The sequence below is a fragment of the Homo sapiens genome, chromosome 15 (assembly GCF_000001405.40).
Source record: "Homo sapiens chromosome 15, GRCh38.p14 Primary Assembly".
Lineage (NCBI taxonomy): Eukaryota > Metazoa > Chordata > Mammalia > Primates > Hominidae > Homo > Homo sapiens.
This window is the reverse complement of record NC_000015.10, coordinates 95,018,917-95,038,521: the sequence shown is the minus strand read 5'-3', so window position 1 is coordinate 95,038,521 and position 19,605 is coordinate 95,018,917. Positions and strand designations below refer to the sequence as shown.

At 37.7% G+C, this 19,605-nt stretch overlaps 2 long non-coding RNA genes across 2 annotated transcripts in view; one reads left to right on the top strand and one right to left on the bottom strand.

Moving 5' to 3' along the window:
* LOC105370991 (uncharacterized) overlaps nt 1-19,605 on the bottom strand; it is a 152,871-nt gene extending 133,266 nt beyond the window's left edge. Inside the window, exons 1-3 of the long non-coding RNA XR_002957693.2 lie at nt 19,479-19,605; nt 17,303-17,478; nt 13,464-13,537 (exon numbers count right to left, since the gene is read on the bottom strand). This is a non-coding gene — a long non-coding RNA (uncharacterized LOC105370991). The remainder of the gene's footprint in view (nt 1-13,463; nt 13,538-17,302; nt 17,479-19,478) is intronic.
* On the top strand, nt 2,784-7,644 carry LOC124903581 (uncharacterized). The gene is made up of 2 exons (XR_007064798.1): nt 2,784-3,138; nt 3,778-7,644. It is a non-coding gene; the product is annotated as an uncharacterized LOC124903581 (long non-coding RNA).

Sequence of the window (19,605 nt, the reverse complement as noted above, 5' to 3'; positions counted from 1 at the left end):
AGGGTTTTACCATGCTGGCCAGGCTGGTCTTGAACTCCTGACCTCAGGTGATCCACCCGCCTCGGCCTCCCATAGTGCTGGGATTACAGGCGTGAATCATTGCACCTGTCCAGCCTTACTCTTTTTATTCTTCATTACTGTTGCTAAATTGTGCTTCTTTCTTCTTCTTTTCCCTCCTCAAATCTATGCCACTTTAAATCACACCTATCCTTTTAAATTATGCTTGCTCTGTTAAATTCAGCCTACCACTTTAATTTGCACATATTTTGAAACCTTTGCTTATAGCCCATGCCTGTGAAATAGGAGAGTTCCCTGACTCCCATTGCAAGATGTGCAACGGGGATGTGGCTTGTCTGTTCAGCTACCATGGGTGCTCGAACACCTTAAGGGACAGGGATCACACAGATGGGCAGGTGCAGGAGTGGGGGCAAGCGCTTCTGGGCTCTGGCCCCATGGTAGCACCTAGGGGTGGGTGCCTGTGACTCCCAAAGCCACATTGGGTGTGATACAGTTGTCTTTTAGCTCTGCTGTCTGCAGACGGCTTAAGTGTTAACCAGCTCAGTGCCCTCTTGGTATTCTGGTTCTTGTCTGGCATCCAGGCAGAATCAGGTCACACACAGACTTGAAGGATGGTGAATGCAGGGCTTTTATTGAGTGGTGGAGGTGGCTCTCAGTAGGATGGATGGGGAACTGGAAAGGGGATGGAGTGGGAAGATGATCTTCCCCTGGAATTTGGCTGTCCATTGGCTGATCTCCTCTCTGACTGTCCCCAGACGACCTCCTCTTGACTTTCAGATACTCCTTCTTTTCTCTCCTTCTCTGCCACACTGTTCTACCATTCTTCTGCTCTTCTGTTCATCTGCCCTTGGAGCCTGAGGTTTGGGGTTTATATTGGTCAGGATAGTGGGGCATGGCAGGCCAAAAGGCAACTTCTGGGTGTGAAAAAAGGAATACCTGTTCCCATTTAGGGCCACTGGTTTCTAGGCTTGAAGGTGGGGCCTTTGCCAGGGATCCACCCTCTTCTACCCAGTATTTCCCTGTCTCCTGTCCAAATCACCTGGATCCACTCAGATACTTTTCAGACTTAGGGAAGACCTTGTTTTCCTGAAGCAGTTTAAGTTCAAGTTTAGGCCCCTCCACAGCCTTTCATCTTCTGTCTTTCCCCACAATGGGGCATTACTTTGGGTGGAGGTCTGGCAGGAAATCATTGACTTTTGTTTTTTTTTTAAATTAGAGTGATTTGAAAGATTGTACATCGTCTTTCCTCAAGTTATGCAGAGGATGTGATTTTCAAGTACAGTCTATTTTTCTTTATTATTTTGTCTGTTTTGTACTGTATTAAGGAGGCATGCAGTGGGCTGCCACCACTGTCTTCAGCCACCCTTAAGTCAGATTTTCTTTGATTTAAATTGAATGCTCATTGTTTTGTCATTTGGTGCCTGTCCTTTTACCATTGTTCTAATGATATGGTTATTGCTCTAGTGTCTTTTATGACTTTTGAGATGGTAGAAAGACTGGATCTAGAAATAAAATTTTGTCATCATGCTATGTCATCAGTGTAATTATCTCTCACACCTAAAACTTTTTAAAAAGCACAAATATGTTTCAGTTCACTTGATCCTCACATAACCATGATGAAGTATTTACTGTCTTTATTGTACTAATAAAAAGCAAACAAAGCCCCCCAATACCTAAATAGGCTAAGTGTCTTGCCCAAGTCACATGGTTAATCTGAAAGCCAAGAATGTCAAAGTCTAATGTCCCTTTTACTCAAGTTATGGGAAAAAATAGAAATAACATATAAAAATAAATGAGCTATAGGTGTAGAAACAATTATTAAGGCATCAGCATTGTTTAACATCTTTACAAAGTTTAGTTAATTAGGGAATATGTATTTATTAAGCCTTGACTCCACAGCAATTTTGGTTGTGGAGTCAATTCTTTCTAGCCCCTGTGGATTCAGGGGCTTATCTTGGTAACATTGTGGCAATTCACTTCAAGACTAATATTTTAGAGTAAATAATATGAATTAAAATACTTACTCCAACACAGATTGTTGAAGGTTGACAATTTCTTTAGTGTTTGATACAGTTTCCTAAGATGATCAATTTCATTTTGGAGAATGGAAGTGGGGACACCTCTTTGCTTCAGTTCCACATTCCTTTAAAGCTAATGGAGTAGTTTAGATTCAGTATAGAATGACTTGATAGAAAAGTTTTTAATCAACTTGAAGCACTTGGGTTTTGGAGATAGAAAAAAAAATGAGTAAATTACTTCTCACTTACTAAATGCTAAAATTTTCCACTTCTTATTTTTCCCCTTCTTATTTTAAATGTAATTGTGTAGCAAAACTCTTCAGGAAACAATTCAGGGATCTTCTATACCCTCCAAACCCCTCACTTATGTATTTCTTTCCATTGACATGCATTTATACACTAATGACCCATAATCTTAACAATAAAATGACCCTTCTCCATAGCAAATCGTTGATTCACAAAGCTCAGACATCTCCATCATCTATGTTCAGACAATTGTGCTGGGAATCTTTTCTTAACAAAATGATGCCAAATTCTTAACAGCAGGTTGCATCTGAAGACTGACTTGTGGCAGAAATTAGTGACTTTGATTTAAACACCCTTTTCTCTAAATGTTTCAAAGAAAGAGTGAGAGGGAATAAAAAGGGCAGTTTGTTAAAAAAATAAAATAAAATAAATGATAGACAACACTTAAAAGTAATACATTTATGTTGGTTTCTTGTAGCAATTCTCATTTTCTCCCTTTAGGATTAAATGTCAGCTGAAGGTTGAATCGGGCAAAAACTGAAAGAAGACAACAGTTTGAAGGCTTCCCTTTCCATTTCCAAACATAATACCAAATGACTTAAAATGAATGAAGATGCTTTAGAGCTCTGGGTGTCACGATAAAACATAAACTTACACATTCACTTTGACCCACATATTGTCCTTTCTAAGATGTTTCAAAATGGGAAAATCCTCTGTGTCATTTTATTTGAAAAAAAAAATCAGGAAGCACCATTGCATGCATGTGAGCCGAGCAGATGTGCATACAAACATGCGTGTGTGTACATGAAGCACAACCAGCATTTGGAATATCCTCCCTCAGGCAAAGCAAGGACCTGTAAGTAGTACTATTTTTCCTATCAGCCCTGGAGAGTACAGAGGGAGCCCTGTGTGTTATTAATGGATAAAATCTGAACGGCAGCCAACCCCAAGGTGAACCCTATGCATTTAAAACATTTCATCAGACAGCTAAGGTTTTTCTTTTTTTTTTCAGCAGATATCTCTCCAGCCACCACTCAATAGATCCCAAGAAGAGAGCAATAGCTGGCCTCACTAATGTGCAAATTGATAGTATGAGCTCCCCACCAAAATATAAACAGCTCTTTATTCCTTAAGTATCAATATCATAGGCTGGGCTGGTGTGAGGGAAGTCTGTGGACTACCGTAGAATTATCTGGCAAAAAGAAATAGTAAATGTAAAATCTTTGCCCAGCCAGCTGGCTTCCTGAGTTTCTTTCTGTGATGTTTGAATGCTCTGCTGAATTCTAACAGCTGGAATCTAGACATTTGTCTAGTTTATGACTTCAGTTTTTTATAAGGGTTAATGTGGGTGGTTTATAAAGTTAGAGGTAGAATAAAAATAATTAATGTTTACTTATTATTTTTATTTGTCTCTGCTTAATTACTAAAATGGTTTGAATGTTCACTGGTTATTTTCATTTGCTGCGGTCCATTCTTTACTCTGTTTTGTTCCCAGAGAGGCTGACTCCTGCGTATTGTATCACCCTGGCTACCTGGCCAACTGGCTTCAAATTGGGCTTGACCACTGGGAGGTCCTGAGAGAAGACTGGAGGACAACAAGAGGCAGAGACTGTGGTATTTCTTTCTTCCTACTGTGGGCCGGATTGCTGGCACTGGCTGTGTCCTTCCAGGAACACAGCTCCCAAAGAGAGGCCCATCTGCATGGCCCCAGCTCTCACTGTTCTTTGCTAACACAACTTCCATTCGTGCCTCTTTAGGCTTGGAAGTGGCAAAGCCTGTCCACTCTTGCTAGTCTCTGAGTGCCTCATATCCCTGATTTTTCCCTTTTGCTCTATCCACAACTCAGGAAGTAATTTCTTCATTAGAGTCCCCTGTACCACATGGACTGGATTCAACTTTCTGCTATTTTCAGTATTAAATTAGTTAATATTTGTAGAATGCTTACAATAGTGCCTGACACATAATAAGCATGCTTTATGTTTGTTAAATCAATAAAAATAAACACATATAATATAACACTGAGTCATGTGTTCAGAGGAAAGGGGTGCTATGTTTGTCCAGGCGGAATCAAGAGCTCACCCCTGGTGTAAGAGTTTGTGGAGTCAAGGGGTTAATACGCAGGAGAAAGAAAACCCCCAAGGTGACCAAAACAATAGCAGCAACAACAAAACAGAGTTGTATGCCATACCCTAGTTCCTAAGGTTGCTATTTTGGCCTCAAGGATTCTTTTTTTTTAATATTGGTTAAACATGCATTTCATTTTTCCAAAGTAGAATTTGAAACTCTACTAACTCTACTAACTTTAGTTGCTCTTCCTAACTAAAGAGAGCAAAGACTAAGCAAGTATGAGTAAAACAAAAGGAAACTTTATTAACACATCCTGGCTACCTTTAGGCCAGTAGAGAGGAAGAGGAGGAGGATGTACATGCCTAGAAAAGAATAGGAAGTCACAGCCCTTGCCACTGCAGCCTGGGTGTGTGACACTGCAGTAGGCTATGTCAAGGAAGGCTGTAGTCCCCAAGGAACTAGATCTGCCTTGTCTTATGGGAGAAATGCAGAGCAGGAATTCAGTAGTCTGGCAGGTCAAGCAGCAAAGGCCCAGCAAAGAATGTGAGTCCTGTCATCCAAGACCATCTTAGGGCCCTTTTTTTTTTTTTTTTTCTTTGAGACGGAGTCTTGCTCTGTCACCCAGGCTGGAAGTGCAGTGGAGCGATCTCGGCTCACTGCAACCTCTGCCTCCTGGGTTCAAGCTATTCTGCCTCAGCCTCCTGAGTAGCTGGGACTACAGGCACCTGCCACCATGCCTGGCTAATTTTTGTATTTTTAGTAGAGATGGGGGTTTCACCATATCGGCCAGGCTGGTCTCGAACTCCTGACCTTGTGATCCGCCCGCCTCAGCCTCCCAAAGTGCTGTGATTACAGGCGTGAGCCACCACGCCTGGCCTGGGCCCTTCTTTTAACTGAATGTATTTTATTGAATCTGACCAGCCTGACAATGGCTCGTCTGTGCCTGCGCAAGAAACTCACCAATACTGTCAAATGATATTGCTCCAATCTAGACTGTACACATGAATTCAACTACTACACTATTATCAGGTTTTGTTGCAAATTTGTCCCCAAAAAGATTGTCCTAGGAACCACTGTTATATACTCTGCAATGCAAATCTCCATTTGCCTTTCAAGAAGCTCCGTTCAGCAGGAACTGGCCTCATCTCGAAATTTATTACCCTTTTGCCACTTTTATGTCTGCCCAAGTCTGAATTTTTTGTCTAGAACGCTGCCTAGGGAGGCTCTAACAGAACAGTTTGTGGTTGCAACTCAATGCCATAAAGAAGAGTTGAGGTGCTGGAGAATCCATTTTAAGTTCAGCAGAAGAATGCAGAGTAGGCAATTTGTGTTCTGTCCTTTCACAAGTGTCCTTACCCAGCTTAGAGGCAGACAGACGTCTTTAAGTTTCCAATTTCTGGTTGATAACTGTTGGCTTCCAGAGATGCATGGAAGCCCACATACACACATGAATAAGCATGTATGTGTGCATGGGTACACAGAAACACACATACACACACTAGGCACAATTCCATATATCTCCCAAGGCAAGCATTACTTCTATTCTAAATCTATAAGAAAGAAAAACAATATTTTCCTAAGTGCTCCATCATTTGAAAGGCAGCCTCTCAGAGTGGAGTTCACACTGAGCCCTGTCTGGTTCGATGCAAATAAGAATAATGCACATTGCTGAGACATAGATCACTTTTTTTGTTTTGTTTTTTTGTAGAGATGAGGTCTCTCTCTGTCACCCAGGCTGGAGTGCGGTGGAATGAACACAGCTAATTGCAGCCTCAAAATCCTGAGCTCAAGTCATTCTTTGACCTCAGCCTCCTAAGTAGCTGGGACCACAAGCATGTGTCACCACACCTGGCTTCTTTTGTTTGTTTGTTTTGTACAGATGGGGGTCTGTGGCTCAGGTTGATCTCAAACTCTTGGCTTCCTCCTGCCTTGGCCTCTCAAAGTGCTGGAATTATAGGCATGAGCCACCATTCCTGGCTGAGGGGGGGATATTTTAAATTACTATGTTTCATTCTTAAATAAAATATGTTCATGATAATTAAAACAAGAAACAAGATTTATAATGAACAGTGACAGTATCCAAGCCCATCCCAGGTCTATTTTCCTATTCCAGAGATACAGACATTAATGGTAGTTTAGTTTTATATTTTTAGCAATATGCATATAAATATGCTTTTATATTTTTATGCAATAAAATGAATTTCCTTTTTGTCTTTATAGATCAATGATTTTGTGCTTTTTCATTGTGGTAAAATGTACATATAAAACTTACTATTTTAACCATTTTTAAGTGTACAGTTCTGGAATAAAGCACATTTACAGTGTTGTGCAGCCAATAATCATGATCCATTTCCAAAATTTTTTCATCTTGATAACCTGAAACTTTATATCTATTAATTGACAACTCTTCATCACATCTTTGCCTCAGTCCCGGAAACAACCATTCTACTTTGGCCTCTATAAATTTGACTTCTCTACATATCTTAGATAAGTGGAATCATACAATATTTTTCTTTATGTGACTGGCTCATTTCAAGTTTCACCCACGTTGTGGCATGTGTCCAAACTTCCTTAATATTGAAAGCTGCATAATATTCTATTGTGTTAATTTATCCATTTGCCAGTGGACACTTGGGTTGCTTTCACCTTTTGACTATTGTGAATAATGGTGCTATGAATATGAGTGTACAAATATCTCTTTAAGTATTTGCTTTTAATCTTTTGGGTAGATATCCAAAAGTGGAATTAATGAATAGTATGATAATTATATTTTTAATTTTTCGAGGAATCACAATACTGTTCTTCATAGTGGATATATCATTTTACATTCCCACCAACAGCACAAAAGAATTTCAGTTTCTCCACATCCTAGCCATGTGCACTTGAGAAGAATGTGTATTCTGCTATTTTTGCCTGGAGTGTTTTTTAAATGCTTGTTATGTCCATTTGGTCTACAGTGCTGTTCAAGTTCTCTATTTCCTTACTGATCTCCCCTCTGGTTTTTGTATTCATTATTGAAAATGGAGTATTAAAGTCTCTTACTATTATTGTAGATACATATATTTCTCCATTCAGTTCTATAAATGTTTGCTTCACATATTTAGGAGCTCTGCTGTTTGGTGCATATATGTTTACAATTGCTGTATTTTCTTCATGAATTGATCCTTTTATCATTATATAATGTCCTTCTTTGTGTCATGTAACAGTTTTAACATGAAGTCTGTTTTTTTTCCTGTTACATGCCACACAAGAGACAGGCAATGGTAAATAAAAATGCTATAAAATTTTCCTACCATTTCAAGTGTGGCTTTTTTTCCCCTTCATTAAGGGTCTATTTGGTTGCTATAGATCTTTGGCTGATTTCCAGAACACCTGTAAAATTACTTTAGTTAGTTTCTAGTTGTTTATTTAGTGTTTCCATGAGGAAATAAGGTCCTAGAGCCTCCAAGTCTGCCATCTTGCTGATGTTACTCTCAGTTATATGGAGATACGTATAATATACACACAGACGTGTGCGTGTTTAGCTATATTTGTGTAATCACTACCACATTTAGGGCACAAAACAGTTAGAATTCAGAAGAATCCCATCCTCTTTGAGAACTCTCTCATATTATCTCCTTGTAATCACACTGTCCATCCCACACATAGACCCTGGCAACTATGCAGATATATATTATACAAAAATAAATTCTTACTATACCCACTACTCTGCAACTTGCTTGTTGTACTTATCAGTATCCTAGACGCCACTGTAAATCAATGCATGTGTACACATTTAATATTTTAATGAAAGCTTAGTTTTCCACCATCATTGGTTTATCTGGGCTTATATACATGTATAACATGATCTTTACTAGACTTTTCAAGCTGTACTGAATACATATATTGAAATTGGTCATTCAACACTTCTGCTAATATAACTGTAGGATAATTTGAATTTCTATGTCAAAAGTTATATGAATTTATGCTTTTAATACATATAGCTAAGATACTGTCCAAATTTTACACCAATTTTCACTCCTACAAGAGTAAAATGCCTTTCTCTCCATGTACTCATTAACGATGTTTATAATAAAATTTTAAAACATTGACAATCTTAGAGAAAAAAGTTATAAAACTCTGTTGAATTTTGCATTTATTCAGAATGAACAAAGTTAACATCCTTTCCTTTGTTTAGCCATTTGTTTTTGTTTTCTGGAGGATTACCTTCTGGAATGTTTTGTCCTTTTTTTTATTTGATTGCCTTTTACACTGATGTATAAAAACTCATTGTACATTGATGAAATTATTCTTTATCTGTCATAATTTTTTTCAGTTTGTTATTTGTAGTTCTACTTTGTGATATTTTGCCATCTAAAAATTTTAACTTTTATGTGCTTTGATTTTTATTTTCCTTTCATGCACATGTGTCATGCTTAGGAAAGCATTATCTTTTAATTTATAATAAAATCTAATAAAATTTTCTTCATTTTAAGGTTTCAACTTTTGAATCTTTTATTTATTTAGCTTTGTTGTGTGGTTTAGGAGGTAAGGTGGAGATCTACCTTTATTATTTTTCCCAAATGGCAATTGAGTTGATCCAATGCATTTTAAGGGGAAACACATTTCCTTTCACTAATTTGAAATGCTAGTTTTATAAATTACTAAATTCCCATATGCAGTTAGATTCATTTCTGGACTCTCTATTCTATTCTTTTGATCTGTGTATTCTTTAGTCCCACAACCAAATTGGTTTAATTATTGTACCTGTATGAAATATTTTACTATATGCTAAAGTTAGTCAAGCTTTACTATATTTTCTTTTTAAAAATATCTTTATTCTTAAATGTATTTTTAATGAAATTTACGCAAACAAGCAGACAGTTTAAGACAGAAATCAATAATAGCAACAACAAAAATAAATAATTGGAAATAAACCTAAAATTAAGAAAACCTTACGCCTCTTTTAAGGAGCACAAAATAAAACATGAATAAATGGGAAGAAATAGCTTGACCTTGTCTAAAAAGAAAAAATTTTAAACTTTTCAGTATTCCTATTTATTAAATAACTGCAATCTAATTCCAACCAAAATTCTAAAAGGAATTTTCTTTTCAGTTTAACTAAATGTTACTAAACTTTATCTTTAAAATCTGTGTGACTCTTCTTAGTCATTCCCTGAACAACACTACAACAAGAAAGCTAAAGCTTTTGAATTAAGGGCCTATTTGTTAAATAAGGTCCTTTTGGTGTTCCAGCCTTTGGGGATGTGGTTTTATTCTTCCAGTTATATAGAAACACTGACATTGTATCTTTATCTTCAATATAAGCAAATACATATATCATATAATGACCAGCTGCTAGGGAAAGAAGCCTCTCCCTTTCCCTAATAGCTATATCATTTTCCTGATTTAGAGACCTGGAACATTTTTTAAAAATCCAAATGCCATATACCACTATGCAATGAAATGTTACTCTCTCTTCATTATTTAAAATGTAAACCTCTCAAAGGCAAGAGTATTCACTTTTATTCTAACCCATGTTCTAATTTGAAGGGGCTTAAGAAACATTTAGATTGTGAATGGGGTGCCACACTTGCACACATTCCTAAGAAATAATCTTCCTATTTCTTTTCCATTCTCTTTTTTCACTTCTTCATCTGATTTTTGTTTTGTTTTTGTTCTTAATCAGAGAAACTATGACTGTAATTCAATGTGCGTCTCTAACAGAAGACTGAATTTTGGAAAACATCAAGATTTCAGAAAATCAGGAAAATTATATATTGTGCCATGTGTTGATAAACTGACTTTTTGTCAAGACCACCATATAAATAATGTGTTTTCTGCTGGGAACATGTTTCTTTGAAATGTAGGACTGCCTAGCTAAAATGCTAGATCTTCTACTTGTTTACTGAAGTTTCTGTCTGCTTGTATAGGCTTCAGGATCCTTTTACTAAATGTGACTCGGTTTGGGGAATCCAAATATGTAGTGGGAGATCATGCCTAAATTAAGAGTTCTTCACTCTTGACAGGCTGACAAAACATGCTGTAAGTGAATCTCAGAGGATTCAACACGAAAAAGTCATGCTCAACTGGAGAAATTGTTTAAAGCGAAAGGAGGTTGTATCTAACATTCAAATGTGCTATTTTCTTCAGAACATTTTTAACTGTAGACACTATATGTATTATGGCCAAAAAACAAGAGCTATAAATACATATACACATCTTTCTATGGCTACACCAAACCTGAGATACACACACCTCACACACGCATATACAACACACCCACAGCTTTTCCAAGTTAGATATTTTTACCAAAGACTTTTTCTAATTCCCAAAGTCTAAGGCTTTAACTATTGAAACAATCAAAGAATAAGAATTTTACATTTTTAATTGCTACAATTGATATTTTTCCTCAGTTGGAAAGACCTGGTCAAAATAGATCCTAATTAAGGAGTTGTAAATTATTAACTTGTCCTCCAAATATAAGAGATTTAAAAATAATTTTTAGCAACCATTTATTGCAGATGCAGTATGTGCAAACAAGGAATATCTACTGTTGACAAAAGTCAATGAGGTAAGGATCACTGATAACCAGATCACTTTCAAGAGACGATTTGTTAGCTCATCTATCGAATAGATACCAGTATTCTGATGACTTAGAAGTGTAGTGAAACATTTAATACAGCTTCCAAAAATTATTACTGTTAATATTTTAAACCCACTTAATTTAAAAAATTCTTGTCAAAACTTACAAACCATAACAGAAGAATTAGGTAAATTAATCTATATTCAAATATTCAAATTAAGAACTTCCGTTCACCAAGCCAAAGATTTTTTTTTTTTTTTTTTTTTTTTTTGACAGAGCGAGACTCTGTCGCCAGGCTGGAGTGCAGTGGCGCGATCTCGGCTCACTGCAACCTCTGTCTCCCGGGTTCAAGGGATTCTCCTGCCTCAGCCTCCCAAGTAGCTGGGACTACAGGCACATGCCACCATGCCCATACAATTTTTGTATTTTTAGTAGAGACGGGGTTTCACCATGTTGGCCAGGATGGTCTCTATCTCTTGACTTTGTGATCCACCCACCTTGGCCTCCCAAAGTGCTGGGATTACAGGTGTGAGCCACCGTGCCCAGCCCAAGCCAAAGATTTTAAGCTATCTACATGTTGAAATTGAGAAGTGGCTTGATATAGGGCCAAAATCAAGGCAAGAAAACAGAAAATAAACCAAGACTAACATTTTAAGTCGTGCTTTTTTCCAGAGATGTTTATTATTTTTGATGTGGGTGTGGTTTTAAAATTATAAAATAACTTCGTCACTCTCTTTTCATTGTTCTCTGTATCCCTCTTCTCCAGTGCAATGTTTGGCCCAAGTAGGCTACAAAATAAATCAATGTGGAAAAAAAAGCAGAAAAAAAATAAATAAATGCTATTTCTCAGTGTTCATTTTTTTTAAATGATGCTGTATTTTTCCATGGAAGAACTATGTGCTGCAATGTGTTCATCTTGCTCTTCTTGTGAAAAAGTCAATTAAAATGGGAATGCTTATTTAAATGGATTTGTATCGATGTTCTCTATGAAGTAAAAAGTGTCAGTATCCTGCACTGACACATTTTATCCTAATCAAAAGTCTCTTTTGTTTTAAAAAATTTGGCTTCTCCCAAAAGCAGATTTTATTTCTGAATACTTCTTAATTTGGATCCAAAAGAGACTACTGAGCATATACATTCATGCTAAAGAAATTTCTATTGGACTTTGGTGCTGTCACATGAAATACCAAATGGTTTGTAATCTACACACTGCTGGCCACCATTGCTCTCAAATAGATATTTTTAATGTCATGTGACTTTGCTGCCCTCCTGTGGCTGCTTCTTGGGGTGCCTGGGTCTTGGTTTATGTCTATGGGTTCCAGTGACCCTTTAACTAGGTCACCCCACACTCTATACTGAGTGCTCCTGGGCACGCATGCATGATCTACCTCTTATCTTACACAAACCAATGAACTGCTTGCAGTCTCTCTCATGACTACTCACCCCTGCCATCGTAGCATGACAGCAGCCATGGACAATATATAAATGAATGAGCATAGCTGTATTCCAATAAAACTTTATTTATAAACTTTTATTTACAAAAACAGGTGGGGAAGTGTGGGCACTGGGTTTGCTCCATGAGTTGTCATTTGTCAACATCCATTCTATAGTTATTTCCTATTGTATCGATGTTGAACAAATTTTCTTGATAAATTCGGTGATAAATACATTTGAATGAATTGTCTATTTTAAATCACAAAATATTTCAAAATATTCCATTCATAATTGAATTTATATAAATATTGATACTGTCCAGTCCAAACTTTATACTCCATCGTTATGATATTTAAATTGCAATATGACTTTTCCAGGTGACTTCTCCAAATAGCTAGCAAGCTATCCATTGCAATTTATCTGTATATATCAATTTCAGAAAAATGGTTCTCTGCAGAGGCATGTCTATACTTACAAAGGAGTACCGTGAACACTATTTTTTCCTTAAAATTGCCAGCATCCCACATTCAATAACCTGCTAAGTCCTGCTGATTTGTTTTTTAAGTATCTTTCCAATCTGTCAGTCTTTATTGCAGACTCCTAGAAAAGTTTCATTGTATTAAAAATACCTTCAAGTGTATTTTTCTGTTCCACCTCTAGTCTTACATTTCTACACCATCATTCACATCATTGCCCAAATGACATTTCTAAACTATAGCTCTCCCTTTATCTCTCCCCTGGTCCAGCAGCTTCTTGATCATCAAGTCCAAGCTCCTTAGCATGGCACAAAAAGCCTTTCATGAACAGCTGCCTTCTCTCACAAGCTTCACCTCTCAGCACCCTGTTAAGTCTCTTTCCATGGCACCTTGCTCTTCTCACGCTTTGCAACTTTAACATACCCTTTCATTAAGCTTTTCTTCAAACTGGTTTTCCTAGACTGCCTGTGCTCACTTTCCTGTCAGCTCCTTTTTCTCTTCATCCATTCATTCACCCATCTATTGACCATTTACCAATATTCATTTAACAAATATTAATATTTGGTAAACGCATTCCCAGTACCACAGAAAGTATCTCCCGACTCCCTTCCCTCTATCCCCAATGTGCTTTGTACATACCTCTATTAATCTTTATCATATTCTACAGCAATTTTTTTCCTGCTTCTGTGTTCCATCCATTAGACTCTAAACTCCTGAAAGGCAGAAGCAGTGTTTTAGTAATCTTCACATTCATAGCACCATGCATTTTACATAGTAGGCAATCAAGAAAGATTGAATGAATAAATGAGCAAATTAGTGAGTGAGTGAATAGACTAATGAATGGCTTCCACGCTCACTGATGAACAGAATGTGTTATACTCCATTTAATGTTATCCAAATAACAAGTTCTATGGCTGGCATTAGCTGAACATCAGAAAAGAGGCACATAAAAATGTTACTGCTCCTCAGACTCTACTTCCCTTAACTGACTTTCAAGAACTATCTTCTCAGCTTGTCAAATATTTAAAGAAAAAGAGAGAGGCGCTTTAGACTTCAATTAAGTAACAGCTCCCCCTACTGATGGTGGAATAAGTAGGGACCTCAAAATCCATGATGCTGCATATCTGTAAGCCAACTTGGCAAGATGATCCAAAGATCAGGTAGCCTGCTAGACTTAACATGCCCAAGTGAGAGGTCAAGGGCAGGGTGCTGGCTACAATAACAAAGCAGCCCCAACCTCATCCAAGGACAAACGCAGCTGTAATTTTACAGCTCAGAAGCATTTGCAGCTCCCCCTTCCAACAAGTCTTTTAAAAATGCTGATCTGGAAGACCAAAGCAACCCACTTGAGACTCGTTCTCAGTATGGCAAAAGTTCTGAAACCCAGACTGCAAAATCTCAGGAAGCAGCTGGGTTCCTAATTAAAACAAATCGTTAATAGTTTTAGCATTCCAAATTTATGCTTTTCAATTAAAAATGCTGTTGCAGTTGGTGTATCTGCGCGAGAGTATATGTGTTTGGGTGTGTGTGTGAATGTGTGTGAGTGCGTGTGTGCGTGTGCAAACACGCCTACACTCTGGACTTGGGGTATTCCAGAGTTTAAGAGGCTGTTATAAAGGCTGGGTCAATACTAAGATACAAAGGTTAATTAAATCAATTCTTAATTGTTTTGGTAACTTCCTTGAGTCTCTGCACATGTTTTGGAAACAGTGGTATGTGAACAAATCGGGCTGTCCTATCACAACTCCTTTAAGGAAGTATTTTTAGCTGTTTTGTAAATGTTAGCTACCTTTTGAGAAGGTATTATATTCAGTTTAAACAAAGAAGACAATTTAAGGTGTATAGCATTCTCTCAAGGCCATCTAGTAAGTCAGTAGAAAACACCCTAACCCCAGTGCCCAGTTATATATACATATAAACAAGATGTCATGTCTCTGGGTGAACAAGCCAAATTTTATCAATGAGATGGACACCCTTTCCTTGGCCACAGGTTTTCAGAAATTGTACTGAGTAATAATTTATGGTGCCCATAAGCAGAGCAATTAACTCTCTCCTCACCTGGAGGATGAGTTCATTTGTCTTCATCCCAATCAACAACTGCTTTACTTACGCTACTTGGGTGTTCTCAGGGTACCAAGTGCTCAGGATAGGAAATAAGTCCTGGAAACCAGCTTACGCTGAAACACATTTCCAGTCCTGCTTTAAGAGGAATAATTCCACCAATTTTACGACACCAAAGGTTCCCTGAATTATACTTGTAGCATTATAATCTATTTACTCTGAATGAAAATATGTATTTTTAGGCAACAAGGTGATAGAAAATTCTTCTGACCACCTGGAGAATTGGAAAGACTGATAGCTCAGAATTAGGAAGAGGGCAATATGAATCCTTGATCTATGTATGTGTTGTTTAATTGTGAACAAGTGAGATCAACTATCTGGAAGACAGTTTGTTCAACTTTTAAATTCTAAAAACAACTATCTTGTATGTTATAAATGCATATAAGCTCAAAAACTCATGGTTGTTAAGAGATTGTATGATAACTTTTTTATTTGAGACAGAGTTTCACTCTTTGTTGCCCAGGCTGGAGTGCAGTGGTACAATCTCAGCTCGCTGCAACCTCCGCCTCCCGGGTCCAAGCGATTCTCCTGTCTCAGCCTCCCAAGTAGCTGGTATTACAGGTGTGTGCCACCACACCTGGCTAATTTTTGTATTTTCAGTAGAGACAGGATTTCATCATGTTGGCCAGGCTGGTCTCGAACTCCTGACCTCAGGTGATCTGCCCGCCTAGGCCTCTCAAAATGCTGGGATTACAGGCATGAGCCACTGCCCCTGGCCTACAATAACTTTTTTAAGTACCTGGTCAAATGTTAGCATCATGTATGGCCCATGGTAACAGGATGATAATTAGGTGCTATAAAGATACCTTAGTAAAGTAATTTTGGAGTAATTCTTAATTTATATTTTTCTTTCTCTTTCCTCTGACCCCAAACCTTTTTTAGCCCTCATCCTCGGGCATTTCTATTATTTTGGTTTATTTTTCAAGTTCTATCAATAAGTTTCTGCTTCAGATTCCATACTAATGCTAGCTGAAAAAAACAGACTTTGTCCTATACAAAGAGTCCACAAACTGGCCTCCAGGTGGATATAAATCTCCTGAAGTTACATGCAAAGTTCTTTCTGTGTATATGTATAACTGGAGACCCAGAGCCTTCCTCTGTTTCTCAACAGTTCCACGACCCAAAATAAAAGTTATGTTCTGCCGCGCTATTGAATTTGTATATAACATCCTAGAAAAATATGTTTAAAACTAAAGCCAGACCAAATGGTACTGTAGTAACATATTGACACTGTATATGAAGTAGCATAATGTGCTTCAAATGTAGACCATAACTTACAGCTAATTATTATGATTGCTAGAAAAAATATTAAAAAGGGAAAAATAGCTAAAAAGTAAACATAGGAGCTAAAATAGAATATTAAAAATTATAGAACCTACACAAAGAAGGCAGGAAGGGACAAACCGAAGAACGAATACCAAATGGAATGAAAGAAGACAAAGAAGGGTGAGATAAAAAACTGTATTAGTTACTATATTAAATGCAAATGGACAAATTATTCCACTTAAAGGGCAAAGATTGTCAGACTGAATTTATTTTTTTAAAGCAAGATCACCTACTTTCTGCTTACAAGAAACATACTTGAAATATATAAATACAGGCTGGTGGGAACTAAAAGTGCAAATAAAAGATACTCTCTTCCATCAATAGTTTCAAGAAACATAATTTAGCTATTAATATATCAATAGCAGAAAAAAAAGACTTCAAGACAAAGAGTATTATTGGAGATAGAGAAATTTCATAGTGGTAAATGAATCAATTCATCAAGAAAACTTAATAATCCTAAATGCATATCTAACTAATAACAGCTTCAAAATATGTGAAACAAAAATGAATACATCTTAAAGAAAAAAATAGATAAATACCTGGAGATTTTAACATAATTATTAAATTAAACCCTTGCTACATAATTGGCAGAACAAATTTTTAAAAAGACATGCTATCATCTCATTTCGCGGTTGTATAATTTTCCATCAGTTCTGTGTCTACAGGAGAAAGTTCACTTTTAGAAATGAGTTATATTAAATAATTGCTCCTTCTTTTTATGTTGTTTTAAGAAGATATTTTGAGAAGAGAGGAAAGATACCTCAGTGTGCAACTGAGAAAAGGATGTGTGTAGGAGGGAGGGGGAAGGTTCTTGTTTGAAGATTTATTTATTTATTTATTTATTTATTCATTTATTTTTATACAACATCAGTTTGTGTTTTTTCTCTTCCCTGCTTATGGCTCCTCTGTCTCTTCTCTATGCTCTTCAGACTTGTGGGGTTTATTTTATTTTCTTGCTTCAGGAAAACCAATTCTCAATCTGAAAAACAATAGATCAGCAAGAAGAAAGCAGCCAGATAGGCAGAACATACCTGCTGCAGTTTCCCAGAGACCCATGGCCCAAGCTTTGGTTTCTGGAACCTTTCCTTCCAAAGTGGTATCTGTGGTCCCAATCCATCACAGCGGCTACTTCACACAGCTGCTTCTGGCCACAGGCTTGAGACTCTATACAAGAGGCTAGTCAGTGTGCCCAGCATTTCAGGGGATCCTGATGGCAAAACAAGAGTACAAGACAAATAGGACCGTCAGCTGGATGAAAACCATCACCACCCAGGGAGGAATTAAAATCAATAATTTGAGAAGAGTCATATAATGTTATTTTGGGGAATCATTGAATCTCAGATCTGCAAGTGATCTTGAAGCTCAGTTCAATCAGCTCCTTCATTTTACAGCTGAGGAACTACAATTCAAGATGGGCAGTGATGTGTTAACATTCTTGCTGTGGGTTTCAACACGATCCCAGTGTAGAACCCAGGTGGGCTGATGCCAAGGCAGGGTTCTCGCAACTGGGCCTCCCCAGGTGGAGCAGTGAACTGTGCTTCCTCTATGAGGATGGGGGTGGCAGGTTGGTGGGGTGCAGAACATCTGAACCAAAAGTGTAGATGATAGTCTAGGCCCTGAAGGACTAGATTTTCCTTGCCCAAGATTTTCATCCTATGCCACAGCCTACCCTTCCCAGACACAGTTTCAGCATACATCTTGCGCCTGTTTCCTAGTCCCCAGACCAGAAAGACAGCATAAATACAACAACTCTCCCAACAAGAGTGCTACGTGGCCCTACAACTGCATCAATACTCCCTGTCACTTTTCTCTCAGAATCTCAAAATGCTGAACCATTTCTGTGGACATCGTAATTAACAAAAGAAAAAAACAGCAACAATAGCAGATCTTTGGGACACGAATTAATTATCATATGGCCATTAATTTTAATATGAATTTAAGTTTCCACTATGGACACTACACAATATTTCACAGGAATTTTTGCTTACAATGTATTGATGGGATGCTTATATATGAACTGGCATGCTGTTTCTAAGAAGTATGCCAGGGTTATGCATTTTCATAAATAGAAAACTAAACCACAGAGGCTCTGACTAGCCCAGGTTAGAATTTAGATTTCCTGGCCCTCTGCCTTGTACTCAGAGTGGAGTTGCCAGAATTCATGAACTACTGTTCAGAGACACCTGGCACTATCTTGCTAAAGTCTAGGTGCTTGTGATGCACGTATTTAGGAGCTAAGAAGGTTGCTTGCCAATCCACCCCCACCCCAGTCTCATTAAATGCCCTTTAGTGCAGGACAGAGATGATTTTGCCCTTTGTTTCCATAAGAAAGATGGCTATCTGTCCGTAAGAAAAATGGCTCTGTGTGTGTGTGTGTGTGTGTGTGTGTGTGTGTAGAGCTATTATAAATATTTGGGGGAGCTGCATTAAATATATATAAATATTCCAATGCATAATATACTTCTGCTTATATCTCAATAAAATGGAAGGGAGCATGATCCAGCAGGGATGGACTCCAGAGTCAGGCCTAGGTTCGAATCCTGGATCAACTACTTAAGAGCTCTGTCACTTTGGGAAATCTATAGAGCCTTTTTCATCTATTTCTTCAGCAGCAAAATGGAAATTTAAAAAGGTATCCCTGCCTTGGAGTTTGTTTTCTGTGGATTAGAGATAATAAATGTGGTGTGCTTAGTATTTCACGGTATGTATGCTCAACAAATAGAATCACACAGCATTACTCACAGCTCAAATTATGGTGGAGCAATTGCTGAGCGTACAAGACTACTGACCGTTCTTGCAAAGCCACTCAGCATAAGGTATATTTAACTCATTGCATCAGAGGGATATTGAGGGTCATCTGCTTGAAATAAACAAATTCAATTATTCTGCAATGTAGTGGTCTAGAGCAATTCACTTGCTACCCAGAGGTGTGTAATGAACCCATTAGAACATTTTGCATATTCGGGGCAACTGTTGGGGTGTGGGATAAAGCATGCATCACAAATTCCACAGGGCTGTATTTAGAAATTCTGAGAACACCTTCAGACTGAGAGCAAACCACAAAACCGGCCTGGAAGTGAGGAGGGAGACTGGAGGGAAAGCACTGAGATTCTTCTGCTGACTATAGAGGTCACCTGACCCTGACTCATAACTTTTACTGAGTTGACTATATCTCACTTCCTGTAAGTGCCTGTCCCTCATACTCACTTTCAAGGACTTGGCCAATCTCCTTTTGTAAATAGAACAATGCTTTATATTTCTCTATTACTCCAGAGTGACTATATCAATAATGCAGGAAACGCATCTGTCCAGCACAATGAGATTATTTTTCTGA